This window comes from Homo sapiens, chromosome 12 (assembly GCF_000001405.40).
Source record: "Homo sapiens chromosome 12, GRCh38.p14 Primary Assembly".
Classification (NCBI taxonomy): domain Eukaryota; kingdom Metazoa; phylum Chordata; class Mammalia; order Primates; family Hominidae; genus Homo; species Homo sapiens.
In genome coordinates this window covers 44,776,470-44,792,554 of record NC_000012.12, presented here as the reverse complement: position 1 = coordinate 44,792,554, position 16,085 = coordinate 44,776,470, and the positions used below count along the sequence as shown (strand labels likewise).

Below are 16,085 nucleotides of genomic sequence, written 5' to 3'. Positions count from 1 at the left end.
TGTTTATTTATGGTGTCTTTTCCATTGAAAAAGATTTAATTTTTATATAGTTAAAATGTAAAGTTAATCTGTGTTTTGCTTTATGGCTTCTTTTTTATTCCAGTTTCTTTTCTCTTTCAATTTTGGCTAATTTCCCTTTTTTACAAGATTATCCGCAGCAGCATACAAGCACGTATAGTATTTCTCACCAGTAAAAATGAAGAAAAAATCTCTTGACATGTCTCTCAGCATTTACCTTCCCATTTCTTTCAAAGTGTCTCCATTTATTGTCTGTTTCTTCTCTTTGCCATTCTCTCTTGAACCTTCTTCAAGCCAGCTTTCTCCCCTAAAAAGTTTTCTGAAATAGCTTTAGGGTCCCCTAAAAAGTTTTCTGAAATAGCATAATCTCTGAATTTTGCTAAATCCAGAGATTAATTCTTCATCTTACTTAACCTGTCAATGGCGTTTGATACAGTTGATCACTCCCTCTTTTTTGAGGCACCATCCTCGTCACGAGGCTTTTGAGACACCACTCTCACTTTTTTCTTCTCTAGTCTCCCTGGCCACACTGGTTTCCTTTGCTGTGCCTCAAAATGTCAAAGTGCCTTTTTTTTTTTGTCTGTAATAATTCCCTAGGGAATCCCTATGCTTTCCTGGCTTTCAGTGTGGTCTATATGCCTGTTACCCCCATATTCCCATGCCCATATGGACCTCTGTTCACCTCAGACTTATAAATCTAGCTGTCCTTTCTATATGTCCTCTTGAATGTTCATTAGGTACCTTAAATATAACATATCTACATTTAAATACTTGATTTACCTTATCTAAACTTACTCTTCTTATAGTCTCCATCTCAATCAGTGGCACCTCTTGTCTTCTATTTGCTCAAGTACAAAACATTAGAGTCAAAAGCTCCAGCTCCACTATTTTTTTTTAGTTTTGTTTTTCAAAACTCCATATCAGCAAATTCTATCAGCTCTATTTTCCAAATATATGCCAAATTAAACCACTTCCCACCAATCTACCACTACTACTGTGGTCCAAGACACCATCACGTCTCCTATGAATTATTGCAGGAGCTCTATACCGAGCAGTATACACTGTACTCTATTTATAGTCTTTTATGCCTCAGCCCCCTCCTAGGCTTCCCCCCAAGTTCCCAAAGTCCATTGTATTATTCTTATGCCTTTGTGTCCTTATGGCTTATCTCCCACATATCAGTGAGAACATAGGATGTCTGGTTTTCCATTCCTGAGTTACTTCACTTAGAATAATAGTCTCCAATCTCATCCAGGTCACTGCAAATGCCATTAATTCATTCCTTTTTATGGCTGAGTAGTATTCCATCATATATATATATATATATATATATATATATATATATATATATATGATGGAATACTATATATGTGTGTGTGTGTGTGTATGTGTGTGCGTGTGTATATATATATATACATATATATATACATATATATATACATATATATATATATGTATATATATATATATACTTGAACTTTCTTCTTGGTGTCTATCTCCTTTCTTAGGTCATTAGTAATTGTTTTATAAATTTGGGAGCTCCAGTGTTAGGTGCATATATGTTCAGGATTGTGATATTTTCCTTTTGGACAAGGCCTTTTACCATTATATAATGTCCCTTTTTGTCTCTTAACTGCTGTTGCTTTAAAGTTTGTTTTTTCTGATAGAAGAATAGCTACCCTTGCTGGCTTTTTGTGTCCATTTGCATGAAATGCCTTTTTCCATGCCTTTACTTGAAGTTTATGTGAGTCCTTATGTCTTAGATGAGTCTCCTGAAGGCAGCAGAGAGTTGGTTGGTGAGTTCTTATCCATTCTACGGTTCTGTATCTCTTATGTGGAGCATTTAGGCCATTTACATTCAATGTTAGTATTGAAATGTGAGGTGCCGTTGCATTCATCATGTTCTTTGTTGCGTGTGTACTTTGGCTTTTTTTGTTGTTGTTGTTGTTATTTTGTTTTTGCTTTTTACGTTGTATTTTTGTTTTATAGGTCCTCTGTGATTTATGCTTTAAAGAGGTTCTGTTTTGATGTGTTTCCAGTATTTGTTTCAAAATTTAGAGCTCCTTTTAGCAGTACTTGTAATGTTGGCTTGGTAGTGATGAATTCTCTCAGCATTTCTTGGTCTCAAAAACACTGTATCTTTCCTTCATGTATGATGCTTAGTTTCACCAGATACAAAATTCTTGGCTGATAATTGTTTTGTTTGAGGAGGCTGAAGATAGGGTCCCAATCCCTTCTACCTTGTAGAGTTTCTGCTGAGAAATTTGCTGTTAATCTGATAGGTTTTCCTTTATAGGTTACCTGGTGCTTTTGTTTCACAGCTCTTAAGATTCTTTCCTTCATCTTAACTTTAGATAACCTGATGATAATGTGCCTAGGCGATGATCTTTTTATGATGAATTTCCCAGGTGTTCTTTGAGCTTTTTGTATTTGGATGTCTAGGTCTCCAGCAAGGCCAGGGAAGTTTTCCTCAATTATTCCCCCAAATATGTTTTCCAAGCTTTTAGAATTATCTTCTTCCTCAAGAACACCAACTATTCTTAGGTTTGGTCATTTAACATAATCCCAGACTTCTTGGAGGCTTTGTTCATATTTTCTCATTCTTCTTTCTTTGTCTTTGTTGGATTGGGTTAATTCGAAGACCTTGTCTTTGAGCTCTGAATTTCTTTCTTCTACTTGTTCAGTTCTATTGCTGAGACTTTCCAAAGCACTTTGCATTTCTATAAATGCATCCAGTGTTTCCTGAAGTTTTGATTGTTTTTTCTTTATGCTATCTATTTCCTTGACTATTTCTCCCTTCACTTCTTATATCTTTTTTTGGATTTCCTTGCATTGGGCTTTGTCTTTCTCTGGTGTCTCCCTGATTAGCTTAATAACTAACCACCTGAATTCTTTTTCAGGTAAATCAGGGATTTCTTCTTGGTTTGGATCCATTGCTGGTGAACTAGTATGATTTTTGGGGGGTGTTAAAGAGCCCTATTTTCTCATGTTACCAGAGCTGGTTTTCTGGTGCCTTCTCATTTGGGTAGGTTCTGTCAGAGGGAAGGTCTAGGGCTGAATCCTGCTGTTCAGATTCTTTTTCCCACAGGGTATTCCTTTGATGTAATACTCTACCCCTTTTCCTATAGATGTGTCTTCCTGTGAAGCTGCAGTGATTGTTATCTCTTCTGGGTCTAGCCACCCAGCAAGTCTACCCAGCTCTGAGCTGGTACTGGTACTGGGGATTGTCTGCACAGAGTCCTGTGATGTGAATCGTCTATGGGTCTCTCAGCTGTGGATACCAGCACTTATTCTGGTGGAGGTGGCAGTGAGGATTCTTAGCTTTGGTGGTTTAATGCTCTATTTTTGTGCTGGTTGGACTCCTGCTGGGAGGTGGCACTTTCCAGAGAGCATCAGCTGTGGTAGTACCCAGCAGTGGGCAGGACCCTAGAACTCCCAAGAGTATATGTCCTTTGTCTTCAGCTACCAGGGTGAGTAGGGAAGGACCATCAGGTGGGGGCAGGGCTAGGCATGTCTGAGCTCAGACTCTCCTTGGGCAGGTTGCTGTGGGGGTTGGGGGTGAGGTTCCCACGTCAATGGAGTTGTGAACCTAGGAGGATTATGGCTGCCTCTGCTGAGTCATGAAGGTTGTTAGGGAAGTGGGGGAAAGCTGGCAGTCACAGGCCTCACCGAACTGCCATGCAATTCAAAGGGGCGGTCTTACTCCCCCTGTGCCCTGCCCCAACAGCCCCGAGTCTGTTTCCAGGTGGTGGGTGAGCTAGACTTAAGAACTTGCTCCAGGCTACCCACCTCCCAGCTGCAAAAGAACAGAGCTTTGGTTCTTTCCCCACCTATGGAGTCTGCACACCAGATTTGTGCCTTCCCCCAAGTTCTGGCCAGGAGGCTTCTCGCCCAGCTTAAATTGTTACAAAGTTCAGCTGGAGATTTCCTTCTGCCTTTGACATCTTCCCCCATGCCTCTGGGCACCCTCCCAAAGGATCCCTGTGGTGCTAGGCAGGAATGGCCTGCTTGGAGACTCAGTGAGCTCCCAGGGCCTTTCCCTCTGCTTCCTCTACGCTTGTATTTGACTAGGCTCTCTAGATTGACTCAGCTCTAGGTAAGTTTGGAAACTTCTCCCTCAAACAGACGTTCAGTTTCCCCAGTGTGGGTGTGTGTTTGGGAGAAGAGGATCTCCCTTTTCCATTTCCACAGTTGGAGCACTCAGTGTTTGGAGTGTCTCCGGTGTCCTGCAGGAGCAATCTGCTTCCTTCAGAGGGTCCGTGGGGTGGGTCCTTTCAGAATTCCTGGTTTATTCTTGCAGTCGATCTGGAGCTAAAATTCATCATGCAAGCCTCCACACACTGCTCTGTCTATCCGAGTTGGAGCTGCAATCTAGTCCTGCCTCCCATCGCCATAATGATACCATTCTCCCCACGTTCTTTTTTTTAATTGCTGAGTTTTGAGAGTTCTTTTATATTCTAGATAGTAGTCCTTTGTCAGATATTTGATTTGTAAATATTTTCTTCCAAACTGTAGCATGTCTTTTCATCTTTTCACAGGGTCTTAAAATGCACAAAAGTTTCCCTTTCTGATGGTGTCCAGTTTTCAATTTTTACCTTTTATGGATAGTGCTTTTGGTGTCAACTCTAAGAACTCATTGTGTAGACTTAAATCCCTAACATTTTATCCTTTTTTTATCCTAACAGTCTTACATTTTAGATTTTATATTTAAGTTTGTGATCCATGTTGAGATAATTTTTGCATGAAGTGTGAGACTGAAGTTAAAATTTTTTTTTTTCCCTTAACATTTGGATGTTCAGTTGCTTCAGCACCATTTGTTGAAAAAGCTATATTTTTCTCCATTGGATTACCTTTGCTCTTTTGTAAAAAAATCAGTTGGTCATATTTGTGTGGGTATATTCTTGATTCTCTGTCCATATGAGATATGTGACTATCCCTCTGCCCATACTACACAGTATTGATTACTGTACTGTATAAAGTCTTTGAATTGGGTAGATTGATTCTTTCTACTTTATTCCTTCTTCAAAACTATTTCAGCTATTCTGATTTGAATAGCCTAAATGTCCTTCCATATAAATTTTAATGTAAATTTTTTTGCCTTTCCGTATAAATTTTAGGATAATGTTGTCTACAGCTAAATTTTTTGCCATTATTTTTATAGGAATTATATTAAACATTTATATCACACTGGGGAGAATTGACTTCTTTACTGTATTGAGTCTTCCAATTTATGCATATGGTATATTTATTCATAATTTAGATCTTTGATTTCTTTCATCAGTGTTATGTTGTTTTCAGTATATAATACCTGTTTGTGTTTTGTTAGATTTACACCTAAGTAGTTTTAAATTTTCTGTGTAATTGTAAATTATATTGTATTTTTAATTTTGGTATCCATGTATTTTTGCTAGCTTGTAGAAATATAATTATTTTTATATGTCATATTGTATCCTATGACCCTGCCAAATTAACTTATTAGTTCTGATAGTTTTTTTTTATACTTTAAATTCTGGGATACATATGCAGAACATGCAGGTTTGTTACATAGGTATACATGTGCCATGGTTGTTTACTGCACCCATCAACCCATCATCTAGGTTTTAAGCCCCGCATGCATTAGGTATTTGTCCTAATGCTCTCCCTCATCTTGCCCCCACCCCATGACAGGCCCCGGTACGTGATGTTCTCCTCTCTGTGTCCATGTGTTCTCATTGTTCAACTCCCACTTATGAGTGAGACAATGCAGTGTTTGGTTTTCTCTTCCTGTGTTAGTTTGCTGGGAATGATGGTTTCCAGCTTCATCCATGTCCCTGCAAAGGACAAGAACTCATCCTTTTTTATGGCTGCATAGTAATCCGTGGTGTATATATGCCACATTTTCTTTATCCAGTCTATCATTGATGGGCATTTGGGTTGGTTCCAAGTCTTTGCTATTGTAAATAGTGCTGCAGAAAACATACATGTACATGTGTCTTTATAGTAGAATGCTTTATAATCCTTTGGGTATATAACCAGTAATGGGATTGCTGTGTCAAAAGGTATTTCTGGTTCTAGATCCTTGAGGAATTGCCACACTGTCTTCCACAAAGGTTGCACTAATTTATATTCCCATCAACAATGTAAAATCATTCCTATTTCTCCACATCCCCTCCAGAATCTGTTGTTTCCTGACTTTTTAATGATCGCCATTCTAACTGGCATGAGATGGTTTCTCATTGTGGTTTTCATTTTCATTTTTCTAATGACCAGTAATATGAACTTTTTTTCATGTGTTTGTTGGCTGCATAAATGTCTTCTTTTGAAAAGTGTCTGTTAGTCTTTGCCCACTTTTTGATGGGGCTGTTTGTTTTTTTTCTTGTAAATTTATTTAATGTCCTTCCAGATTCTGGATATTAGCCCTTTGTCAGATGGATAGAATGCCAAAATTTTCTCCCATTCTGTAGGTTGCCTATTCACTCTGATGATAGTTTCTTTGGCTGTGCAGAAGGTCTTTAGTTTAATTAGATTCCATTTGTCAACTGTGCTTTTGTTGCCATTGCTTTTGGTGTTTTAGTCATGAAGTCTTTGCCCGTGCCTATGTCCTGAATGGTTTTGCCTAGGTTTTCTTCTAGGGTTTTTATGGTTTTGGGTTTTACATTTATGTCTTTAATCCATTGTGAGTTAATTTTTGCATAAGGTGTAAGGAAGGGATCCAGTTTCAGTTTTCTGCCTATGGCTAGCCAGTTTTTCCAGCACCATTTATTAAATAGGGAATCCTTTCCCTATTGCTTGTTTTTGTCAGGTTTGTCAAAGATTAGATGGTTGTAGATGTGTGGTGTTATTTCTGAGGCCTCTGTTCTGTTTCACTGGACTATATATCTGTTTTGGTACCAGTACCATGCTGTTTTGGTTACTGTAGCCTGTAGTATAGTTTGAAGTCAGGTGGCATGATGCCTCCAGCTTTGTTCTTTTTGCTTAAGATTGTCTTGTCCATATGGGCTCTTTTTTGTTTCCATATGAAATTTAAAGTAGTTTTTTTCTAATTCTGTGAAGGAAAGTCAATGGTAGCTTGATGGGGATAGCACTGAATCTATACATTACTTTGGGCAGTATGGCCATTTTCATGATATTGATTCTTCCTATCCATGAGCATGAATGTTTTTCCGTTTGTTTGTGTCCTCTCTTATTTCCAGCATTGGTTTGTAGTTCTTCTTGAAGAGGTCCTTCGCATCCCTTGTAAGTTGTATTCCTAGGTATTTTATTCTCTTTGTAGCAATTGTGAATGGAAGTTCACTCATGATTTGGCTCTGTGTTTCTCTGTTATTGGTGTATAGGAATGCTTGTGATCTTTGCACATTGATTTTGTATTCTGAGACTTTACTGAAGATGCTTATCAGCTTAAGGAGTTTTGGGGCCAAGATGATGGGGTTTTCTAAATATACAATCATGTCATCTGCAAACAAAACAATTTGCCTTCCTTTCTTCCTATTTGAATACACTTTATTTCTTCCTCTTGCCTGATTGCCTTGGCCAGAACTTCCAATACGGTGTTGAATAAGAGTTGTGAGAGAGGGCATCCTTGTCTTGTGCCGGTTTTCAAAGGGAATGCTTCCAGCTTTTGCCCATTCAATATGATGTTGGCTATGGGTTTGTCATAAATAGTTCTTATTATTTTGAGATACGTTCCATCCATACCTAGTTTATTGAGTGTTTTTAGCATGAAGGGGTGTTGAATTTTATCGAAGCCCTTTTCTGCATCTATTGAGATAATCATATGTTTTTTTGTCACTGGTTCTGTTTATGTGATGGATTCCATTTATTGATATGCATATGTTGAACCAGCCTTGCATCGCAGGGATGAAGCCGACTTGATCGTGGTGGATAAGCTTTTGGATGTGCTGCTGGATTTGGTTTGTCAGTATTTTATTGAGGATTTTCACATGGATGTTGATCAGGGATATTGGCCTGAAATTTTCTTTTTTTATTGTGTCTCTGCCAGGTTTTGGCATTAGGATGATGCTGGCCTCATAAAATGAGTTAGGGAGGAGTCCTTCTTTTCCTTTTGTTTGGAACAGTTTCAGAAGGAATGGTACCAACTCCTCTAGATTTATTGAGATTTTCTATGTAGGCTATCATATAATCTGCCAAGATTGACTTTCTAACTTCTTCCTTTCTATTCTGTATTCTTTTTCTTTTCTTTCCTTTCTTTTCCTTTTCCTTTTTCTTTTCTTTTCTCTTCTTATTGCACTGACCAGAGCTTTCAGCACTATGTTGAATAAGAATGGTGGGAACGAGAGGTTTGCCTTGTTCTGATGTTAGAGAGAAAGCATCTGGTCTTTCACCATTGAGTATGATGTTAACTGTAGTTTATTTATAGTTGCTTTTTATTAGGTTGAGACAGTTCTCCTCTGTTCTTACTTTTCTGAGAGTTTCATCTTTAATTGGTGCTGAATTTTGTCAAATGCTTTTTCTGCATAAGTCAATATGATAAAATAATTTTCATTCCTTTGTTAGTCAGTATAATGGATTGATTTTCAAATATTGAACCAGACTGGCATCCCTGGAATAAACCCCACTTGATTATGGTATATCATTGTTTTTATATATTGCTGAATTATATTTGTTAACATTTTGTTAACAGTTTTTATGTATATACTCAGGGAGCATATTGTCTTTGGTTTTACTTTTTTGTACTATCTTTATCTGTTTTTTGGTGTCAGGGCAATATAAATACATAAAATGAATTTAGTAGTTTTTCTCTCTGTTACTTTCTGGAAGCGATTGTGTAGAATTCATATGACTTCTTTTATTACGTGAGAAAATTCTGCAATGAAACTTCTGGGCCTGGAGATTTAATTTTTTGGAGTTTTAAATTTATGAATTCACTTTTCTTAAAAATTATAGAAGTATACAAGTAATCTGTTTCATATTCTGTAAGTTGTGTTTTTGAATTAGTTCATTTTGTGTCATTTGTCAAACTTTTTGTCTAGAGTTTAGTATTCCCATATTAACCTTTCAATATCTGCAGGGTCTGTAATGAAATCTCCTGTTTATCTCTTAATATTGATATCTTTTCTCTTTTTTCTTCGTTAGTTCATTAATTTTATTGAACTGTTCAAAGAACCAGCTTGTGGTTCATTGATTTTTTTCAATTTTTTTAAATTGTATTGATTTCTGCTCTTTATTAATTCCTTACTTCTACTTGATTTGTGTTTATTTTGCCCTTCCTTTTCTTTGCTCTTGAGGTGGGAGCTTATTGATTTGGGACTTATCTTCTTTTCTAATATATGCATTTAGTGCTATAAATTTCTCTCTCAAGTATTGCTTTACCTGTTTTTTTGGCAATTTTTGATATTTAATTTTAATTTTAATTTATTTTATGTATTTTTAAAAATTTCCCTGAGCCTTCCTCTTTGACCTGTGGATTATTTAGAAATATATTTAGCTTGAAAACATTTGGAGATTGTCTGGTTATTGATTTTCAGTGTGATTCTGTTGTGGTTGGAAAGCATACTCTAAGTGATTTAAATTTTTTAAAATGTTGTTTTGTTGAGGTTTATTTTATGGCTCAAGATATGGTCTGCCTTGGTATATATCCCTTGGGAACTTGAAGGGAATGTGTATTCTGTTGTTGTTGAGTGGTATGTTCTATAAGTGTTGAGTGGATCCTGTTGGTTGATGGTATTTTTGAGTTATATATTCTTGACATTTTGGCTAGTTGTTCAAATAATTGTTGAAACAGGGGTGTTGACGTCTGCAACTGTAATTGTGGATTTTACCATGTATTCTTTCAATTCTATCAGTTTTTGCTTCACATATTTTGCAGCTCTGTGTTTTCGGTAATACACATTGAGAATTGCTATGTCTTCTTAATGGATTGATTTTTTTCATCATTTTTATAGCATTTCTGTTTGTCTTTGGTATTTTTTGGCTCTGAAATATATTTTTCTGAAATTAATATAGCCATTTCTGCTTTCCTTTGATTAATAGTTTCAATATATATTATTTTCTATTTGTTTACTTTCAAACTGCCTAGACTGTTATATTTGAAGTGAGTTTCTTACCAACAGAATATGGTCATGGTTTTTAATCCCTTCTGCTAATCTCTTTCTTTTAATTGATGCATGTAAACTATTTACTTTTAATAAAATTATATGCTTGAGTTTAAGTCTGCCACTTTATTTTTTATTTTATGTTTGTTCTCTCTGTTTTATTTTTCTGTTTTTTTTCTTACCATGGGTTACTTGTTTTACAATTTCATTTTATCTGTATGTTTATGAGTGTGTCTCTTTGTATAGCTTTGTAAGTGGTTGCTGTAGGTATTCCATTATATATACATAACTTATAACTGATTGTTCGTATAGTCATTTTACCAGTTTGAGTGATGTATAGAAATTTTAGCTGTCTTTATGTTTCTTTACCCTCACTCATTTATAACATAAATTCTTTAAATATTGTTTAACATACATTTAGGACACAGACTCTTTTGCTTCAATTTTGAGCTGTTGCTTCAGTTGTCAAACATACTTTAGAAAAGAGGAGAAGGAAAGCTTATTGTATTTACCCATTTTTCTTTTTTACATACTATGTTCTTTCTACCTTCCTGATGTTCCAAAGCTTTTTATTTTATATTTTTCTTTCTGTTTAGAGGTCATTATTTTGCTGTTCTTTTAAAATAGGTCTTCTCATGATAAATTCTCTTAGTTTTCCTTTATCTGAGAATGTCTTGATTTCTCTTCATTCCTGAAGGATGTTTTTGCTGGGTATACAATTCTACGTGTACAGCTCTTTTTGCTTTTGTCACATGAAAAATATTTTACCACTTCTTTATGGCTCCCATGGTTTCTACTGAGAAACACACTGTCACTCTAATTTTTCCTTGTACTTAATGTGCAAGATTTTCTCTGTCTACTTTCAAATTTTTTCTTTGTTTTTAGTTTTCAGAAGATTAATTATGATATGGCTTGATATGAAGTTGAAAATTGTTTTGAGTTTATCTTGTTTAGGGTTTCCTTAGATTCTTGAATCTGTGAGTTTATATCTCTTGCCAAATTTGGGAGGTGTTCAGCCATTATTTCTTCAATATTGTTTTTTAAGCTCGCCTCCTTTCTCCTCTCTTTCTCGGATGCTAGTGATACAAATGTTAGATCTTTTGTTATAATCTCACAGCTCTTTAAGACTGTTCAACTTTTTTTTCAGTCTATCTTCTATTTGTCACATTGGATGCTTTTTTTTCTGTCTTCCAGATAACTGATTCTTTTCACAGTCACTTCCATTCTGCTGTTTAGCTTTATCCACTGAGCTTTCATTTCCATTATTGTATTTTTTTGGTTCTGAAGTTTCTATTTGGTTTTAAATTTTTTTTCCCATTTTTCTTTTTCTTTATTGAAACTTTCTATTTTTTTCATTTAAGTCTTTTCATAATTGTTTTTGTCAGTGCTGCTGTAAAATATTTGTTGGGTAATTCTAACATCCTTATCATTTTAGTCTTGATATCTGTTCTTTTTCTTTTTACAATCTGTTGGAGATTTCTTTGCTTCTTGGTATAATGAATGATTTTTTACTGAAACCTGGACATGTTTGTATCATGTTCTGAGACTTGAATCTTATTTAACCCGCCTGTTTTAGCCAGCTTTCTCTGACACTGCTTTGTCAGGGGAAGGGAGGGTGCCATCTTGTTACTGCCAGGTGGAGGTAGAAGTCTAGATTCCCCACTTGCCTTTGTTGACAGTTGAGGGGGAAGCTTCTTTTATTTCTGAGTTGGGGGAAGTTTCAGCTTCCTATATGGTTTCTGCTGGCACTGTGGCGGGGTGGTTTCATTACTGCTGGATGACTATAAAACTCCTGACTCCTTAGTAGGCTTCCTTTGATACTATCCCAGCGGGGAAAGGGAAGTGTGCTTCATTACTTCCAAGATGAGATGGAAGTCCAGGCTCCTCATTGTATGGTCTTCACTAGTGCTGTGGGGGGCCTCATTACTGCCTGGGAGGGTTAAAATTCTTGGCTCTAAACTTGGCCTTCTCTGACACTATTCTGGTGTTACATGCCTCATTTCTGCTTGAACAGGGTAGAAATATAAGCTTCTTACTTAGCTTTTGTTTGGCATGGTTTGGGATGGGGCCAGTTTTTTCTGTGATGTTTGACTGGAACAGAGAGATTATTATCTAGCAGTTTCTGTCTTGCTAGACTGATCCTTTCTTTGTTCTTCAGCTAGAGAAAGCAGGCTCATCTTGAGGATTTTTTAGGTCTACATTCATTGATATTTCCAGATTGAAGCCTTCTTTAGCTCCAAGTCCAGGATATATGACACAAAATGGAAACCCATTGAACTCACTACCATATTGTTCCTTGGATCCTGAATATCTTTTTTTCTCTATCTTCTAGATTCTTCTGTGTTTGTTTTGTATATGATGTCTAGTTGTACTTAGTGGGAGAACTAGGAAAAGTACATCTATTCCATCCCGTAGACAGAGATCACTTCAATCGTTTTTGAACTTTATTTTTAATGTGTCCCATGTGGCTCTTCTCTCTGCAGGTACCTGGAACTGGAAAGTAGTGGCCATCGGAATGAAGTCAGACTGCATTACCGCTCAGGCAGTCACCGCCCTCACACAGAAGTGTTTCCTTACATTTTGGCTGATGACAAGTGGCACAAGCTCTCCTTAGCCATCAGTGCTTCCCATTTGATTTTACACATTGACTGCAATAAGTAAGTGTAGTGTCCTCATTTTAGGAAATGGAAGATTCTAAGAAATGACTGTCTACTCACGTTCCTTCTTTGATGTTTCTTTTTTGCAGAATTTATGAAAGGGTAGTAGAAAAGCCCTCCACAGACTTGCCTCTAGGCACAACATTTTGGCTAGGACAGAGAAATAATGCGCATGGATATTTTAAGGTATCTTTTGGCAAAAGTCTGAGAATGAAATGTAAATGCTTTCTAATGAGTTTCAAAAAGTAGATTTTACTTTTTATGGTGTGAAACAAAATAATTTGATTTGTAAATTAGAAAATTTGTGTCTGTTTCATTTTTTTAAACAGTAATATTTTAGCCAGCAAACATTATTTTCTCTTCTTTTTTCAATGAGTTTAATTGTTAGATATTACAGAAATGATCACAAGGCTGCAATCAGGGCAGTTAACAGGTCATTCTTTGAATTAACCTTTCAAAGCAATAAAAATCTAAAATGTTAACATACAAATAAACTCTCCACCACTGAAATATAACCTTTGATGATACTTTTACAAAGATGTTAATAGCGGATTGAAAGCTTTTTAGTATATATTATTCATGGTCTCCTTGTACTGCAGAAAGTGAGAAAGGAATACACATATGTGCACAAATCTGTCAAAAGAGAAAGCAGTTATAATTTATATCTTTTCCTTTAATATGTACTTGGAGACAACACTTCATAGAATTTCTTCATTGGAGAGGCTCTAAGGGACATGTCATTTAACTTTCCATATTTTAAAGATGAAGAAATAAAGTCCAGAGAATTGCTTGACTACAAGCCCATAGTGCAATCATTTTCCCCCAGTGGCTATGACAGTCCCTACAACATGGAAGTGGCTCGATGAATGATTACCAAATCAAACAATGATAAGTGATAGTTCAACTCATAGATTTCAAGGTAGATCACATACCAGTGAATTTAATTGTTTTCTAAGCAAAGTTTATAATTCTATAAAGGTGTTTTGGGAACTTATTTAAGCATTGCCTGTTACCAGGAAACCAGATACTTGAAATATATGATTCCATCTAATAGTAGCCTTGCTAGTCTTGATGCAGGGTCATTTTTTATTTCTGTTTTATTATGCATAAACCTGCACAGAGGGGTAAAGTAACTTGCTTAAAGATAGGCAAATAGTAAGTGACACAAATAGGAAATTGGTTCCATGCTTGCAAATCCTAAAACCATGCGCTTTTCCCAGGTAAGGGATAGCAGATGTGTGCTGTGAGTCCCAAATCTCATCTCTATTTAATCGTGACAGTCCTTCCCATGGAGCCTAAGTGTGGCCTCAAAATCTCCACATGTCAATTATGTGTACAACTCTGGGGGTCATTCTCTTTATTGTAGTCCATAAATAGTATCCATTAGAGTTGTACAGTGCATAAACTATATAACCGTACACGATAGCCTTGTTTTTATGTTGCTGCTTCTAAGTGATAGGAGTTGGTACACAATTTATTTCATCAATCTAGGCCCAAGCACACACTGGATCCAGTAATACCCACACAGTAAAAATACTTAAATATTTATCGTTCACATTGATACATGCTATTAATCAGATTAAACATGTACAAGACATAGAGACCAGTATTTGACTGGTAAATCTTTATAGGTACGTTTAAAATTATATTGATGTCATGTTGGTACAGTTATTCCTATCATTAGATATTTTGTTTGCATTTTTCAAATGGATAAAGTAAAATATTAATTTAATAAAATATATAAAGGCCATGAAGAAATGGGGGGAGTGTGGCAGATAAAAGAGACAGCTGGATGTGTCTGATAGATCATTTCTGAGCCACCATTGGTCTTTGCTTTAGGAGCCCAGCAAGCTGGAAGCTAATTATACCTTAATGACTAAGTATGCATGTAAATTTTGCCTATAAACATGTGATAAAATTTTCTATGTAAAACAGGTCATTTCCAGCTGACATTTAAAAAATTTTCATTTTAAACTTTCTGTACTCATAAGAACTCATCACTATATTTTGCTGTAGCTGTTTAATGAATCTATTGTCCTTTTTAAATTGAGAAATTAGTTTTAAAAGATCCCACTTTCATGAGATGCTCAAATGAGCATGCTTTCATGACTCAGTTTTTCTATCCTTTTCTTTAATAATTAAAGTTAATTTAAAATTGGTATCAATTTCAGAGTTGCTGAAGCTAGAAATTATTATCAGGTTGATTTTTTTAAAGGTCATTTTCAAGCCCGTCAGTGGCTAACTAAAAATAACTTCTCAAAACAACATAACTATTGCCTCTTAGTTATATCTTGACATTTAATCTTAAGGCTTTAAAAACATTATCAATAAGAGAATACATGGGTAATCATCTATTGTGCCTGATGAATTTCTTTCCCTTTGGTATGAAGTGGAAATAATGTATTAACAAAGACTTTTTACTCAGGGATTTTAGTGAGTGTGTTCTGTAATATTTTCCTTCATGAACTTGACCATTGAACATAATTTGGGTAAATGAAAGTAATATGTCTTTTTTTTCTATTTTTCACACACAGGGTATAATGCAAGATGTCCAATTACTTGTCATGCCCCAGGGATTTATTGCTCAGTGCCCAGATCTTAATCGCAGTAAGTCTATTAGTTCTTGCACTGTGGAGTCCCCATATATTACTTGTCAGCATAGACTTAACCAGATTGAACCCCTTATAAATGCATCTTGACCAAATGTAGTGTTTGTAATTCCAGCCTGTCCAACTTGCAATGACTTCCATGGACTTGTGCAGAAAATCATGGAGCTACAGGATATTTTAGCCAAAACATCAGCCAAGGTAAAAGCTACTCAAGAATACAGTGTGGAAGCTTAAAAATCCTTGATGTTCCCAATACTTCCATTTATAACCATAGATTTTCACCTTCGAGGCTCTTCTTATACTATACTGTTTGCTAGGACTGAATCTAAATCTCTGCTTAAGGAAAGGCTTATAAATATTAAAACCCTAGCCATCTGTATAACAAATAATTCAGTAAATCAGGAATGAGGCAGATTACCTAATTTATACACTGCTTACTACAGGAGGATTTATTGTTTAGCTTTTATTATTATTTATTTTTATTCAGTTTTTCATTACAAGCAAGGAGGCAGTAGGACAGTGTAAAGAATATAGACACCAGAATTGTATCAAAGAAATGGTCCCATAAATGCTTTCTACCACTATGTTACAGTTCTAGGATTATTTACTAATATCTTAAGCATATGTCAGGTTTACCTACAATTTCACTAGACTTGTAATTTTGTATAGTAGTTACAGAATACCTGATGGTTGTGTTGTATGGTGTATGATTTGTTTCTTATACAACATAAATTCTGAATTTTATTTTTTTACTTGAAGAAGCATATAAA

General features: G+C 35.7%; 1 protein-coding gene across 6 annotated transcripts in view; it reads left to right on the top strand.

Moving 5' to 3' along the window:
- The window catches only part of NELL2 (neural EGFL like 2), a 413,574-nt gene that overhangs the window by 129,294 nt on the left and 268,195 nt on the right, over positions 1 to 16,085 (top strand). For all 6 annotated transcript variants that reach the window (XM_011538396.2, NM_006159.2, NM_001145110.2 and 3 more), the window contains 4 exons: positions 12,533 to 12,706; positions 12,796 to 12,892; positions 15,241 to 15,313; positions 15,431 to 15,513. In XM_011538396.2, the coding sequence (XP_011536698.1) occupies positions 12,533 to 12,706; positions 12,796 to 12,892; positions 15,241 to 15,313; positions 15,431 to 15,513 (427 nt within the window). The remainder of the gene's footprint in view (positions 1 to 12,532; positions 12,707 to 12,795; positions 12,893 to 15,240; positions 15,314 to 15,430; positions 15,514 to 16,085) is intronic.